Source organism: Homo sapiens, chromosome 17 (assembly GCF_000001405.40).
Source record: "Homo sapiens chromosome 17, GRCh38.p14 Primary Assembly".
NCBI lineage: Eukaryota > Metazoa > Chordata > Mammalia > Primates > Hominidae > Homo > Homo sapiens.
The window spans coordinates 50,310,283-50,326,933 of NC_000017.11; the positions used below are offsets into that span (position 1 = coordinate 50,310,283).

Here is a 16,651-nt window from a genome sequence, read left to right on the forward strand (position 1 = left end):
GCATTTTTTTGTATTTTTAATAGAAATGGGGTTTCACCATGTTGGCCAGGCTGGTCTCGAACTCCTGACCTCAGGTGACCTCAGGTGATCCACCCACCTCGGCCTCCCAAAGTGCTGGGATTTCAGGTGTGAGCCACTGCACCTGGCCTCATTAACATTTTAATATGCCAGAGTTTATCCTTTAACTAGGCTCCCCACAAGCCATCACACCTCACCTTGCCCCTGCCCACACCTGCTCAGTCCTCTTCCCTTACTCAGGTATTGTTTCCTAAGAAATAAGCCTCCTGAAGGCCAAACTCCACCTCTGCATCTGCTTCCAGAGAAGCCCACCTGTGAAGCCCTCCCAGCCTTTCACTCCTCTCCGTTTCTGTTAACAGAGGATTCTGACTCATCCAGGGCTGAAGTTCAAGGACAGAGATGATAGAAAGAGAGGCAGGAAAGCTCTTATTTCACTGATGCTGCCATGCAGCCCCAGCCTCTGTGCTCTCTGGACTTGGGACATATTTGAAGCTGACCCTCTCACTGGCACTTACAAGAGTTATTCATGGGCTCAGTCCCCTTCCCATTGGGGGATTCTACCATCTTAGTGTCAGAAGTGGGCTCCCCAGACATTACCATCACGACCAACTGATAAGACAAAGCTGAGCTTATTGCTTCCAGCAGAGGTGAAAGATAAGGTCAGGATGTACGGAGAACTGGAAGTTTGGTTTAAAGTGAGTCTTTGGGGGAGGGAGAGTTGGCTTGCTTCAGACAGGGCAGAGATCACAATACAACAGTCCTGGATTGGTGGGAAAAGCAGGCTAGGATTTTGAACCACAATATTCAAAGAATCTTAGGGTTCAAACTGTTGATGCTTTCCACTGAAGAGCTGATAGGTCTTCCTGGAAGTTGCTGCAATGAACGGTTGAACCATTTGCTTAAGCAGGACAGTCCCAGAAGAGTAGAGAAATGCAAATGAAGACAGTGGCATAACCAGGTCATGTTACTCTAGACTGTAAGGTGTGATTTCCATTCTCACTGTCCAGGACAAGTGTGGGGAAGATGGTTTTGGTTCTGATTAATCATTGGTTCAGGAGACAGACACACCCCAGGCCATAGAATCACAGCACTGCTGGGATGCTCAGAAAAAAAGACTTCCTGCTGTTCTCAGTAGGATTTGAACTTGTAATATAAAGTCTGGTTGCTGCTGGCAGCCACTCTAAGAGGAGAGCCTTCCTGAGGGTATGGTCAACACAGAAGAAAGAAACCAAGCAATGGGAAGAGAGGAACTGGTCCTGAGTGAATCATCTGAGCCCCTGTGTTCAGCACCACCTATGCTGGTCGGACACCTGAGCCAGCACTCCGCTGCTTCCACTTAACCTGGCTAGGCCATTTTCTCCTATCAGGTGTAAATGGGGAATCCCCATGCACTAACAATGGGCCAGTGCTCCTAATCCCGGTGCCCTACTGCGTGTTTGCCTGGACTGGCCTGAGGCAGAGAGGGAGGTTCCAGTGATATTAAAGTGACTGTTGGCATTGAAGAGTCCCAGTGAATTACACTTTATGATGTTCTCTCCTGCAGCTCTGAACCAGATGAGAGATTGGCAAAGAAGCTAGGTAGATGACAATCACAATGTCAGCTTTGGCTGGATGTGGTAGCTAACGCCTATATTCCTAGTGCTTTGGGAGGCTGAGGGCAGAAGGATCACTCGAGGCCAGGAGTTTGAGACCATCCTGGGCAACACAGCAAGATCCCATCTCTATGAAAAATTTTTAAAAGTAGCTAGGCATGGTGATGCACACCTGTAGTCCCAGCTACTTGGGAGGCTGAAGTGGGAGATCTGCTTAAGCCCAGGAGTTTGAGGTTACAGTGAGCTACAATCACGCCACTGCACTCCAGCCTGGGTGACAGAGAAAGAGTCTATCTATAAAAAAAAAAAAAAAATTTAAATAAAGTCAGCTTTATTACTGTCACAGCTGGAAAAGAGCATGGCTTAGCTGAGCAACAACAACAGATTTCCCAACATTGTACCCCGGAACCAGGCTGACCTGTCCCCTGGTCACAGGCAGTGCTGGGCAAATGGTCCTCTGTAGCTTACTATGCTAAATGTGGGCTTCCCATGGGCACCCAGCTCCCACGCAGAGGGAAGGAGCTGGGAGGGCCTGCCTGGCTCCTCCGTGGAAACTCAGAAACTTGAGAATCAGATGTCACACCTCCTGCCCTGGGGAGGAATGAGGGAGAGGGTGGAGCGAGGCCAGGAGCTTAGCCTAACAAAGCTGCTTTCACAGGCAGCATGAAGCAAGATCTCAGGAGGTCTCCCGCCACCTCCCCAAGAACTAATCAAAAGCCCAGGAAAGGATTAAATCTAAAGTCCAAGTGGTTTTGTGTTAACTCAGAGCTGCTCCACTTCAGTGCCACTGACATTCAGTACCAGGTACGTCTTTGCCATGGAGGGGCTGTCCTATGCTTTGGAGGAATGGACTGAGCAGCATCCCTGGCCTCCACCCACTGGATGTCCACAGCATCTCATCACCCCCACCTCCCAGTCATGACCAGCAAAATGTCCCCAGACATTGCCAAATGTCCCATGGGGCTGACATGACGCCTGGTTGAGAACCGCTGGGTCAGGTGATTAGAAAGACAAGGATGGGCCCCTCTCCTAGATGCCACAGCTGCAGGAGTCAGGGGAATGCACCCCACCTGGAAAGGAAAGGACCAGAGGTGAAAAGAAGAGTGAAGCTGTTTCTCCTGGAGATAGGTGTGGTGGCAGGGAGTTAGTGGCAAGGCAGGAGTCTACCACTGGGTGGGCAAAGAGGAACACATGTGGCAAATCCATGCTGAATAAGTCTGATTCCGCAGGACGACTGAGAAGAGTTCCATGATGGAATAACGTATATGATGTGGGTGGCGTTTAGGGATACCAACAAGGGGCAGGGAAGCACCCTCAGACAAGCATCCATGGGGCACTCTTGCCTCCACCATGCCTGAGGGTAAGGGCAGGAGGCGGTCCCCAGGCTGTAGGAGAGAGCCTCTGGGCAGGAGCTGTGGCCGTTGGGAGAATAATGCCACCACTGCTATGCCCAGCCTGTCTAGTCAAATCAATATCCCACCTTACTTGTGCCTACCCTCTGATCTCTTATGGTGCCTTTCAAAGACCAAACCCAACTGGAAGGTGGGAAATGGGCCCTGGGGGCAGATGAAGATTACTCAGCACACACACCATGGAGTACTTTACAAAGTTAGAAGCAATGGATTAGATGCACCCAGGGCCACATGGACCGATCTCAGAAATATAAGAATGGGTGAAACAAACAAGCAACAGAATGAGATATATAACCCGATAGCATTTGTGAACATTTAAAATGTATGCCTAGAAAAAATACAAAACATCAATACTCCCTGTACAAGAATACATGCAAATGAAAGACTCACAGATTATGAGCCTATGGCCAGGCGCGGTGGCTCATGCCTGTAATCCCAGCACTTTGGGAGGCCGAGGCAGGCGGATCACTTTGAGCCCAGGAATTTGAGACCATCCTCGCCAACATGGCAAAACCCTGTCTCTACAAAAAATACAAAAATTAGCTGGCATTGGTGGCATGTGCCTGTAGTCCCCAGCTACTTGGGAGGCTGAGGCCAGAGGATCACTTGAGCCTGGGACCAGGCAGAGAATGCAGGAGCCGTGATCATGCCACTGAACTCCAGCCTGGGCAACAGAGCAAGACCCTGCCTCAAAAACAAAAAAAGAACATGTGCCTATGATGGGGAGGGGCTGGAGACTGGGATAGGATATGTGGATAAAAGAGAATAATTACAAACAAGAGAGGGGACTTACATGGACTAGTGATGAGAAAGTGCCATGAACTAAGGCATATGATTAACTAACTCAAATGTCTGCAAATGAAGTTTAAAAACAGCGGGGAAAGAAAAGGAAGGGAAGAAGGAAGAGGGAAGATAGCCCATCAGCCCTGTCCAGCATGTCTTGGGGGAGAGGAGTCGGGGTGGGAGCCCCTCAGGGGCGCTCAGTCTCTGGTCTGGAGGGGCGCAATCCCAGATGGGGAAGGAGTTGCCTCAGGGAGCCTCTCAGAACTTCCTTTTCACTTTTATAAAAATGGGAGACACATCAAGAGATTGTACAAGGGCAAATGCCGTCCTCATTTCCCAAAATGATTCTAGAATTTTAAGCCACCAATCTTGACACCTTTGATTTTGGAATGAATTCAAGTCCAAAGACCCGAATGGAGCCCCGACTTTGTATCCAGCCGGGTATGAATCATCCAACAGATGGTGGGTGCACATTTAGAAACCAGCCCGGTGAGCCCTCAGAGACAGGCTCTTAAGACAGCCCTGCCAAGCTAAGCTGATGTTCTCTTCTGACATCAGAGAATTTGTGGGTTCTACTCTTTCTGGCTTCAGGGATTAGCTGTGGCTCCACAAATTCAAGTCATGGGGAGTGGGGAGGTGGCAACTGTCAGAACAGGAAAGCAGATGTTAGGTGCTAGCTCAGCCTGAGTCACATGTCCATGCTGGAGCAGAAGCCAGTGGGCACTGTGATTGACAGCACCCTCACCAGGACTCCAGGGAGGTGGGCGCACTTGCTGCAAAACAGGGGTGCTAATACCGGAAGAAGGCTGATGAGCACACAAAACCAATAACTATGACAGCCCTCTAGGATCCCCTTGGAAGTGGGGATGAGATGTAGGGGAGTGGAGGAAGAATTTCATCTTTTTTTTTTTTTGAGACAGGGTCTTGCTCTGTCTCCCAGGCTGGAGTGCAGTGGTGCAACCTCCCAGGCTCAATTGATCCACCCACCTCAGCCTCCTAAGTTGCTGGGACTACAGGTACTCACCACCGCAACCAGCTAATTTTTTTATTTTCGTAGAGACGGGGTTGCTCAGGCTGTCTTGAACTCCTGGACTCAAGTGATCTGCCCGCCTCGGCCTCCCAAAGTGCTGGGATTACAGGCGTGAGCCATAACGCCTGGCCCCTATTCTTACTTGTAACAAAACAGGCATTTTTGGTTATTTTAATCTACTATTGCCTTTTATACTGGATTTCTGTCACTCGCAATCAAAAGAATCCTGACTGTTCTACAAGCAATATGGGGGGGGGAAATCATTTTTGTGTTTAATTTCAGTATCCATGTGCTTTGCCATAAATGTTTTTTAAGAATTTTAAACTATTTTGGCCAGGTGCAGTGGTTCACGCCTGTAATCCCAGCACTTTGGGAGGCCGAGGCAGGTGGATCATGAGGTCAGGAGATTGAGACCATCCTGGCTAACATGGTGAAACCCCGTCTCTACTAAAAATACAAAAAAACAGCTGGGTGTGGTGGCAGGCGCCTGTAGTCCCAGCTGCTAGGGAGGCTGAGGCAGGAGAACGGCGTGAACCTGGGAGGTGGAGCTTGCAGTGAGCTGAGATCACGCCACTGCACTCCAGCCTGGGTGACATAGCAAGACTCCGTCTCAAAAAAAAAAAGAATTTTAAACTATTTTAAGGGTTTTTTTTTTAAATTTTGGTGGTTAATTCTTAATTATGACATGCATTTTAAAGATACGCTTTCAGTGGTTTATCATATTTTCTCTTTTCCACATAAAACTTTTGAATTATTTATTGGCAAATGTGACTTGTTTAAAGTGTTAATTTCATGCTTTTGCAGGTGTACATTTAGAAATGAGCACAGTGAGCCTGCAGAGACAGGCTCCTAAGACAGCCCTGCCAAGCTAAGCTGATGTTCTCTTCTGAGACCAGGGAATTTGTGGGTTCCACTCTTTCTGGCTTTGGGGAGACTGTCTGACTACAGAAATATTGGCCACCTAAAGAATTTAGGTCCTTGCCACTCGGACAAGCATGACCAGCCCCAGTTCCCACAAAGAAACATCTGTCTTGCTTCATGTCATGGAGTTGCTTGTATAGTTTAAGTTTCGAGTACTTGTCTGAGCAAGTCTGTCTTTTCATGGATGGCTGAAAATGCTTTATGAAGACGTACACTTCACAAGAGTTAATAGCAGAAAGCACTGTGTCAAAACCCAAGACATAAATGTAATTAAAATCACATTGTATTTCCTGTTGGTTGCTGAAGTAGACATTAAGAAAGTCTTATCTTTAATAGTACATTTAAAATTCCCTGTCATAGAAAATTATCTTTAAATGATAGCTCAGAAAAGAAATACAAAAAGCTCTCATGCCATTTATTATTAATGTGATTTATGTTAAGTCTGTCAGTGGAATGCTGAAAATGTGCCAATGAGTTAGCTCAAGAAATGATGCAAAATTAAATATTAATGAAGCACTCAAACAAGCACCAATTACACTGCAGTATAAGCTTGTAAATATTTCCATAAGTAATTTTCAGTCCGTATTCAGGTAGCACTATGGAGCAAGAAAAGAACCATCATTAATTTATGCAGAAACCTTTTTTACTAATAAATTTTCCAAATCACAAATTTAATTTTAGCTTTTGATTTTTAAAAAGGCAATAAACTGTTAAAGTTTGTACTTGAATTCATGGATACTCTTTTTTTTTTTTTTTTAAAGATGGGGTCTCACTATGTTGCCCAGGCTGGTCTTGAACTCCTGGGCTCAAGTAATCCTCCCACATTGGCCTCCCAAAGTGCTGAGATTACAAGCATGAGCCACTGTGTCTGGCCTTTTCTTTTCTTTTCTTTTTTCTGACACAGGGTCTCACTCTGTCACCCAGGCTGGAGTGCAGTAGTACAATCATGGCTCACTGAAGCTTTGATCTCCTGGGCTCAAGTGATCCTTCCACCTCAGTCTCCCGAGTAGCGGGGACTACAGGCGTGCACCATTATGTCCAGCTGATTTTTTTAAATTTGTAGTAGAGATGAGGTCTCACTATGTTGCCCAGGTTGGTCTTGAACTCAGCTCAAGCAATCCTCCCTTGTCAGCCTCCCAAAGTGTTGGGATAACAGGCCTGAGTCACCATGCCCAGCCCATGGAGAGTCTTTATGTTGCAAGTGATAGAAAGCCCAATTCACATGGTTTAAACAAGGAGAATTTGCCTGCATGCTTTAGAGAAAAGTGCAAATAAAATGCCGCTTCAGGCAAGATTTTATCCAGCAGCAGAAATCCCAACTCACGTGGCTTAAACAAAGAGAACTTGCCTACATGCTTACCTGAAATGTATACTTGAAATGTGGCTTCAGGCAGGATTTCATCCTGCAGCTCAAAGGATGTCACCAAGAACCTGGTGTCTTTATGCCCTTCCTCTCTGTCTTCTGCTGGGTCAACCCCTTCCTCAGGTCAGTGGCTCCTAGAGTGCACTACCTCTCTCTCTCCCCTTCAAAACCAGACCACTCATTCTCCAGCTGTAGGGAAGATTGGCTGCTGATGGCTCACAGCTCTCGCAGCTGAGCCTTCAGGCATTGTTTCATGTTCATAAATGCCCAGGCTTTATTTATTCCCATCCAAAGACTATCCTCCGCCTAGCCCAAGCTTTATGTGATCTGCCAATGATTGGTCAGTGCAGAAGTACAAAAGCGTAGTCCTCCTGCCTAGATCTGAGACAACTCTGAAGGGCCACCTCAGGTCCAAAGCTCCCTTTAGCATCAGTTGAGGCTGTGCTGCAACTGCAACCCAGTTCCACTTTTCCACTTCTCCCTCTGCTCAACCTGCTTCGTTTACTACCTTACAAGTATTGTTTCTGAGACCATGGCCCAGTCACTTCCAGCGTGTAAATATCCATCACAAATCTATTGGCAGGGAGGGACCCAGACATGAGGCAGCTGAGGCCAGGAGTAATTTTTAGGAAGCAGATTCTAAAATAGGTGTTTGGAGCTGGAAGGTGGAGCAATAATTGCCCCTGGCATTCTAGCGTGGTGTACTTGTTTAAACTTTCACTGGGGATGTGCAGGAATGATGGGAAACTGATGGAAGGGAGGCACTGGTGGAAGCAAATTCCCAGGCATTTGAGAGGTTTGAGTGAACTAGTAATATAAGGACTGTGAAATCAGATGGCTCTGGGGCTAGCAATGCTTAAAGGAAGACAATGAAAGTTTGAGAGTACTTAATCATCAGTTTGAGACAAAGTGTGAAAGTCTCTTGGCAGCATATAGAGACTCTGTAGCTGGAGGGCAGAAAAAGCTAAGGATCAGCCCGAAGCTTCATTATAAGGGTAATGCAGCTTCAGAGAGGTTGGATTCTCAATCAGAGCACGTCCGCTCTGTCAGGTCATACCCCAGTAGAGAAGGATCAGAACTCAGAGACTTGGGATGGCACATCTGGGTCAATGCACTAAAAAAATCTTGAATCTCCAGATTCCACTGAACCCACTGGGCCTGCAGAAGCGGCCCCCTGCCCACTGTTAAGGGCTAAAACTCCCCTCATGCTTGAAGATAGTGCAGGGCCTCTGCTTTGCAAGATGAAATGCACCTCCCTCCTGGCCACCAGACAAATAGCTATCAAGTCACAACAAAACCGGCCAGGGATGCGCCAGACCTGCTGCTGAGGAAGGAATGAGACTGTACCCTGGAGGAGCTGCAGGAACTTGCCAACATGTGCTGGCAGGATTCAGGAGAGTAGAGATGGGACTGGATTCTGAGGATGAGGATCAAAACATAGAGCTTGATAGGAAAGAATATTGAATAGGAGTGTGCTCCTGTGATGCAGGATTTTACCCCCTGGCAAGGACCCCAGGAGAAGGTGCTAGAATGGCTCTTGGAAGCCTAGAAACAGCACTGGCTCAAACTAAGTTAAGGAGAAAAGTTCAAACAGCATGGCAGATGGCAGAAGGGATCAAATGGATCAAAGGAGAGGGTTTGCTCAACCGGATCAGCCTGTGTCGGGCCTGCAAATTCCCCAGCTGACTATGTTCCCTGGGAGAGCCCATAAATCACTCTTTTACCAAAGCAGTAAAGAAGGTGCTGGTGGAGGAGGAGCAGCAGCATCGAGAAGTCTATCGTTGGCCATTCTCGGGGAGGCCGTGAGGGTGGGAGATGCTGTTACAGAGCGGGGTGGTGGGGGTGGGGGGAGCTGATAGTAATAGGGATAAGAGGAGCCCAAAATAATCAAGGCCAAGTGGCAGTGTTACAGGAGAGGGGTCCCGATCCAGACCGCAAGAGAGGGTTCTTGGATCTCACGCAAGAAAGAATTCAGGGTGAGTCTGTAGAGTAAAGTGAAAGCAAGTTTATTAAGAAAGTAGAGGAATAAAAGAATGGCTACTCCATAGACAGAGCAGCCCCGAGGGTGGCTGGTTGCCCATTCTTATGGTTATTTCTTGATGATATGCTAAACAGGTGGTGGATTATTCATGCCTCCCCTTTTTAGACCGTATAGGGTAACTTCCTGACATTGCCACGGCATTTGTAAACTGTCATGGCGCTGATGGTAGTGTAGCTGTGAGGACGACCAGAGGTCACTTTCATCACCATCTTGGTTTTGGTGGGATTTAGCCGGCTTCTTTACTGAAAACTGTTTTATCAGCAAGGTCTTTATGATCTATATCTTGTGCCAACCTCCTATCTCATCCTGTACTTAGAATGCCTAACTGTCTGGGAATGCAGCCCAGTGGGTCTCATTTTACCCGGCCCCTATTCAAGATGGAGTTGCTCTGGTTTCAACGCCTCTGATAGCAGCACTTATCTGTCAGAAGGTGGGCACGATTCTCACACTGAGCAGCAAGGTCAGGGAGGCAGCCAGAGGTCCTGCTGCAGAGAACTAAGTAAATGGTGTTTTTTTCCTTTCTTTTTTAAGATATATTTTTAATAGTAAAGATGGGGTTTCACCGTGTTGCCCAGACTGGTCTTGAACTCCTGCACTCAAGTGATCTGCCCGCCTTGGCCTCCCAAAGTGTTGGGATTACAAGTATGAGCTACCATGCCAAGCCGGAAATGGTTAATAGAACATAATATTCCTAGTGGTAAGATAGATGAGCAGCCAAAAACAGCTTATTTTATTTTATTTTTTTAATTTATTTTGAGACAGAGTTTTGCTCTTGTTGCCCAGGCTGGAGTGCAGTGGTGTGATCTCAGCTCACCACAACCTCCACCTCCAGGGTTCAAGCGATTCTCCTGCCTCAGCCTCCCAAGTAGCTGGGATTACAGGCATGCACCACCAAGCCCAGCTAATTTTGTATTTTTAGTAGAGATGGGGGCTTTTCCTTGTTGGTCGGGCTGGTCTCAAACTCCTGACCTAAGATGATCCGCCTGCCTCAGCCTCCCAAAGTGTTGGGATTACAGGCATGAACCACCGCGCCCGGCCCAAGAGCTTATTTTAAAACATCAACCACCCAACAAAAAGTCATGATTCCTTGTCCTGTTTCCAGCCTAAGTTAAGATCTAGAACGTCCTGAATGAAGAAAGACACTGCATCAGCTGGCATATGGACAGGATAAGGTTCCACCAGCCCTTCCACAGGGAGAACTTGAGTAATCATACACTGGGGAAAGAATGCAGATCTTTTGAGAACTGTTGAACATAGAGTCCAAATTGACATTGATACCAAGGAAACTGAAGCATCATCACGGCACCTTATTAGGGTGGTGGAATATGGGGTCAAGTAATAAGTATAGTCCCAGCCATGACCAGCTTCACAGTATGTCCATTAGGTCCACAGACCCACCTGGTAGTCATTTTCCTGGTCTCTCTCTCTTTATTTATTTATTTATTTATTTATTTTTTTGAGACAGAATCTTGCTCCGTCACCCAGGCTGGAGTGCAGAGGTGCGATCTCAGCTTACTGCAACCTCTGCCTTCCGGGATCAAGCGATTCTCCTGCCTTAGCCACCAGAGTAACTGAGATTACAGGCAGGCGCCACCATGCCCAGCTAATTTTTGTATTTTTAGTAGAGATGGGGTTTCTCCATGTTGCCCAGGCTGGTCTCAAACTCCTGGCCTTAAGTGATCCGCCCGCCTCGGCCTCCCAAACTGCTGGGATATAGGTGTGAGCCACCGCGCCCGGCCCTGGTCTCTTAATATATAACTAGAATCAACATAACCAGTATTGCCAGAACTCTTCCAGTGGTTCCTTGGCCTGTGGGGTAAGAGCCATCATAGTGAGGCAGGTGAAATGGAAGCCTTTCAAATGGCCTCCCACCCCAGCCAATCGAAAACCACATCACATCCTGGGGGATGGCAGAGATTAATGCCACCCTTACAGATGTAAAATGTGGTCTCCATAATTTCCTCCATTTAATTCCTCAGTCTGGCCCCTACAAAAACCAGAGAGATCCTGCAGGATGACAGTAGACTACCACAAGCTCAGTCAGGTGGTGGCCTCAGTGGCTGCCACTCTGCTGGGTGTGATTTTGCCACAGCAGATTCACATTGACTCAGGTGCATGGCATGTAGCTACTGACCTGGCAAGTGCATTCTTTCCCATCTCTGTAAAGGAGGATCAAGAATTGTTTCATACTGCCTGGGATGGTCAATAGCACAGTTGTCCCTTGATATTCACAGGGGATTGGTTCAGGACCCCCACCCCTCCACATACCAAAATCTGAGGATGCTCAAGTCCCTTATATATAATGGCATAGTATTTGTATGCAACCTACAAATATATTCCCATATACTTTAGATCATCTCTAGATTACTTATAATACCTAATACAATGTAAATGCTACTTAAGTATTTTTTTTTTCTTTTTCTTTTTCTTTTTTTGAGACAGAGTCTCGCTCTGTTGCGCAGGCTGGAGTGCAATGGCGTGATCTCAGCTCACTGCAACATCCACCTCCTGGGTTCGAGCAATTCTCCTGCCTCAGCCTCCCGAGCAGCCAGGACTACAGGCCTGTGCCACCACGCCCACCATGCCCAGCTAATTTTTGTATTTTTAGTAGAGATGGGATTTTGCCAATTTGGCCAGGCTGGTCTCAAACTCCTGACCTCAGGTGACCCACTTGCCTCGGCCTTCCAAAGTGCTGGGGTTATAGGTGTGAGCCACCGCACCCGACCTGTAAGTAGTTTTTAGTTTTTATATTGTATTTTTTATTTATATTATTTTTTATTGTTGTATTGTGTTTTTTTTACTGTTTTTTTTCTAATATTTTTAATCCATGGCTGCGGAACCCATCGATATGGAGGCCAACTGTACACATTTACAGTCTTGACCTTAGGCATGCGAACTCTCCCACTGTCTGTTATAATATAGTCCAAAGAGACCAGCATCTTCTGGGCTTTCTGCCCAACATTACAAGTGCACAACTGCACTGATTACATCACGTTAATCCAATCAAATGGGTAAAAAATGACAAACACGTTAAAGCCCTGGTTAAAACGTGCTCTGGCAGGTGGGAGATAAACCCTACAAAGATTCAGGAAACCATCACATCAGTGAAGTTCTCTTAGGAGTCCAGTGGAGATATTCCCTAGGAAGTAAAGAGGAAATTATTTTATCTTTCTTTTTTTTTTTTTTTTTGAGATGGAGTCTCGCCCAGGCTGGAGTGCAGTGGTGTGATCTCAGCTCACTGCAAGCTCCGCCTCCCAGGTTCAGGCCATTCTCCTGCCTCAGCCTCCCGAGTAGCTGGGATAACAGGTGCCTGCCACCAGGCCCAGCTAATTTTTTGTATTTTTAGTAGAGACAGGGTTTCAGCATGTTAGCCAGGATGGTCTCAATCTCCTGACCTCGTGATCCGCCCGCCTCGGCCTCCCAAATAAATTATTTCATCTTATAGCTCCCATTATTAAGAAGGAAGCTCAAGGCCTGTTAGGCCTCTTCAGGTGCTGGTGGCACTTGGAATCCTGTTCCGATCTAATTACTGAGTGAAATGGAAGACTACCATCTTTGAGCAGGGCTTGAGGAGGAAAATGTTTCGTAGCAAGTCCAGTCTGTAATATGAAGGAGCACAGGGAACTTCACCCCAAAATATGGCTCCCTGGTATGATGAGTATTTAAATTAAAGGCCGTTAGAGATCAATAGATGCTAGAAGACACTTTTGCCTTGTGTACATAAAGACCAGACAGACCCACCTAGGAGAACAATTATTTTCCTTCCCCTCCCCCCTATTTCTTAATCCTTTGAGAACTTCACTGACGTCATGGTTTCCTGAATCTTTGTAGGGTTTATCTCCCACCCTCTAGAGCACGTTTTAACCAGAGCTTTAACGTGTTTGCCATTTTTTACTCGTTTGATTGGATTATCATGATGTAATCAATATAGTAGTGGACTTGTAATGTTGTGCAGAATGCCCAGAAGATGCTGGTCTCTTTTCTTAATCCTCTATTTCAAGCTTGTCCAACCCATGGCCCCCAGGCAGCATGCAGCCTAGGACAGCTTTGAATGTGGCCCAACACAAATTCTTAAACTTTCTTAAAACATTATGAGATCTTGGCCGGACGCGCTGGCTCACACCTGTAATCCCAGCACTTTGGGAGGCCTAGGGGGGCAGATCACCTGAGGTCAGGAGTTCAAGACCAGCCTGGCCAACATGGGAAACCCTGTCTCTACTAAAAATACAAAAATTAGACTGGCGTGGTGGCAAGAGCCTGTAATCCCAGCTACTCGGGAGGCTAAGGCAGCAGAATTGCTTGAACTCGGGAGACGGAGTTTGCGGTGAGCCAAGATCATGCCGCAGCACTCTAGCCTGGGCGACAGAGCAAGACTCTGTCTCAGAAAAAAAGAAAAAATTACGAGATCTTTTTGCAATTTTTTTTTAGCTCATCAGCTACCGTTAGTGTTAGTGTATTTTATATGTGACCCAAGATAATTCTTCTTCCAATGTGGCCCAAGGAAGCCAAAAGATTGGACACCCTGCCCTATTTATTTCAAAACACAGGCTGAAGTTCCCTTATCTGCCTAAAGTCTGGATCTACCAAAGAAGAAAACAATTACCTCCAGTCCCTTCTCTGAGTTTGTATTAACTGAACCCATATCACAGGAAGTAAGACTAAAGCCTGTTAACAAACCGGGACAGACTTTTGTCACAAATCATTGTCCCCTCTGCGGGCCCAACGGACTTCGCCCCAGACCATTGTATATTCTTCAACCCCATTGAATTCCCCTAAAAATCATTTACCATCCCCCTAAAATCACCCACACTTCCCCATCCCCCCTTTCCCTAAGAAGTAGGGTATACAAGCATCTGTACCCCATTAGGATATGGGGCACGGTAGTAATGCATTTGTAAAGGCTTTTCTCTTATTAATCTGCCTTACTGTGGGTTGATTTTTCAGTGAATCTTAGAGGGTGAGGGTGTAGGGAGCTGCTGCTCCCTACAAGTGCAAGCAGCTCTGCCATTTGGACCCTATGACTCAAAGTACTCTATGGTACTACAGATATCTGTGGGAGGAAAAGATTCTGTGTGAAGTTTACAGAAAGCACCAGTGGGAGAATCACAACTTATATCCCTAGGGTTCTGGAGCAAGGCTGAACTATCCACAGTGGAGAACTCCACGTCAGTTGAAAACGAGCTCCCAGGTTGCTTCTGGGTCTTGGAAACACAGCATCTGTATTAGTCAGGGTTCTCCAGAGAAACAGAACTGATAGGCTATATAGAGACATAGAAGAGGAGACTTCTATGGCAATTGGCTCATGCAATTAGGGAGGCTGAGAAGTCTGCAATACTGTCTGCAAGCTGGAGAATTAGGAGAGCCAGTGGTATAACTGGCTTGAAAGTTACACCATTGGCTACCCTGCTTCTCAGGCCTTCAAACACAGTCAGAGTTACAATAGTGCAACTTCCAGTCCAAGGCCAAAGAACTGAAAACCAGGGAGGCTGCTGGTATCAGTCCTGGAGTGCAAAGGCCCAAGAACCAGGATCTTCAGTGTCCAAGGGCAAGGGAAGATGGATGTTCTAGCTCAAGAAAAGGGAGTTTGGGTATGGTGGCTTGTGCCGGTAATCCCAGCATGTCCAGGTGGGAGGACTGCTTGAGGCCAGAAGCTGGAGACCAGTGTGAGCAACATAGTAAGACCTGTCTTAAAAACAAAAACAAAAACAAAAAACATGTCCGGGTGTGGTGGTGCAAACCTGTAATCCCAGCACTTTGGGAGGCCGAGACCAGTGGATTGCCTGAGCTCAGGAGTTTAAGACCAGTCTGGGCAACATGGTGAAGCCTCCTCTCTACCAAAAAATACAAAAAATCAGCAGGGCATGGTGGTGCAAGCCTGTGGTCTCAGCTACTTGGGAGTCTCAGGTGGGAGAATTGCTTGAGCCTGGGAGGTGGAGGTTGCAGTGAGTTGAGATCACGCCACTGCACTCCAACTTGGGTGACAGAGTGAGACCCTGTCTCAAAAAAATATATATTATGATATATAATTTAATATATAAATGTGTAATATGTATTATTACACGGTTTCAGTACTACCTCCAGGACTGGTCACAAACAGGACCAGCAGGCTCAAGTGAACTGCATAAGCAGATGACCACGCCCCTCTGCCATCCACCACTGTTGAATCCCTGCCTCCTCCTTCTATCACATCTATAGCCACCTTGGGGTAGAGGGTCAGGGGCCTAGAACCAGCTGATGCAGGACAAAAACCAACCAGGTTTGCTTCTTGGATGAGTTGGCTGGGAAGAGGGGGTGAAAGCCACAAATGGACACTGAAAGCGGGGGTGAAAGCCCTTGGACACTGAAGATCCTGGTTCTTGGGCCTTTGCACTCCAGGACTGATACCAGCAGCCTCCCTGGTTTTCAGTTCTTTGGCCTTGGGCTGGAAGTTACATGTTGTAACTCTGACTGTGTTTGAAGGCCTGAGAAGCAGGGTAGCCAATGGTGTAACTTTCAAGACAGTTATACCACTGGCTGTGCTGCTCTGTGGCTCTACTCAGGGCTGGCCCTCGAAGCACAGGGGCAGAGCTTCATGTGGTATGTGTGATTGTCCACTTTGTGTGCACAGAGAATGGCCAGCAGAGGGAATGGCCGTGGACTCAGGGGTAGTGGCAAGTGGCTTGGCTTGTTGCTCAGGGACCTAGAAGGAGACACATCAGATTAGGGAAAAGCAAGTCTGGGGAAAGACACGTGGATGGGCCCACGGGGGTGGGCACAGAGTGTGAAGATTTGTATCACATGTTAATGTGATCAATGAAGACCACCCAGGGGCTGGAGTGAAGCCAATCCCAGCCAGGCCAGAGAGAAATAAAGAGACAGTTTTGACAGAAGGGATAAAGTGTTCTTGGAGGCAGAAACAGCAGATGTCCATTACAATGACAAATTCTTTTTTGGAACAAGTAACCAAGAAAAATTTCCCTAGATCCTTACTTCTAGATAGAGTCGATTGGTCCAGTCTCTCACCAAAAAGGTAATTAACCGGCTTCTGTGTGAATACTTTCAAATCAGGATCCTTACTACCTGTAGAGGCAACATGTGTCCCTCGAGGACATTCGCCATTGAGGCAGGCTGGGGTTTTCTCTCCTACCCTCCAGGGAGGTGCCGTTACCCTCCCCCATCTTAGGCTCACACCAAGCTAGGATATGGAAGAAGGTATTCTTTTTTTTTTTTTTTTTTTTTTTTTGAGACAGAGTCTCCCTCTGTCACCCAGGCTGGACTGCAGTGGAGCAATCTCGGCTCACTGCAACCTCCGCCTCTCAGGTTCAAGCGATTCTCCTACCTCAGCCTACCAAGTAGCTGGGACTACAGGCACACCACCACACCCGGCTAATTTTTGTATTTTTAGTAGAAACGAGGTTTCACTATGTTGACCATGCTCTTGAACTCCTGGGCTCAGGAGATCCGCCCACCTTGGTCTCCCAAAGTGCTGAGATTACAGGCAGGAGCCACTGC

At 47.0% G+C, this 16,651-nt stretch overlaps 4 annotated features.

Moving 5' to 3' along the window:
* Positions 1,126–1,644: an enhancer, noted in NCBI's record as "NANOG hESC enhancer chr17:48388769-48389287 (GRCh37/hg19 assembly coordinates)". NCBI's record gives its function as "activates a minimal SCP1, AML or CMV promoter by ChIP-STARR-seq in naive H9 embryonic stem cells {active_cell/tissue: H9 hESC(naive)}" and the evidence as "EXISTENCE:reporter gene assay evidence [ECO:0000049][PMID:30033119]".
* Positions 5,891–6,020: an enhancer, noted in NCBI's record as "active region_12381". NCBI's record gives its function as "activates an Ori minimal core promoter by ATAC-STARR-seq in GM12878 lymphoblastoid cells {active_cell/tissue: GM12878}" and the evidence as "EXISTENCE:reporter gene assay evidence [ECO:0000049][PMID:35858748]".
* Positions 7,741–8,320: an enhancer, noted in NCBI's record as "NANOG-H3K4me1 hESC enhancer chr17:48395384-48395963 (GRCh37/hg19 assembly coordinates)". NCBI's record gives its function as "activates a minimal SCP1, AML or CMV promoter by ChIP-STARR-seq in naive and primed H9 embryonic stem cells {active_cell/tissue: H9 hESC(naive and primed)}" and the evidence as "EXISTENCE:reporter gene assay evidence [ECO:0000049][PMID:30033119]".
* Positions 8,321–8,899: an enhancer, noted in NCBI's record as "H3K4me1 hESC enhancer chr17:48395964-48396542 (GRCh37/hg19 assembly coordinates)". NCBI's record gives its function as "activates a minimal SCP1, AML or CMV promoter by ChIP-STARR-seq in primed H9 embryonic stem cells {active_cell/tissue: H9 hESC(primed)}" and the evidence as "EXISTENCE:reporter gene assay evidence [ECO:0000049][PMID:30033119]".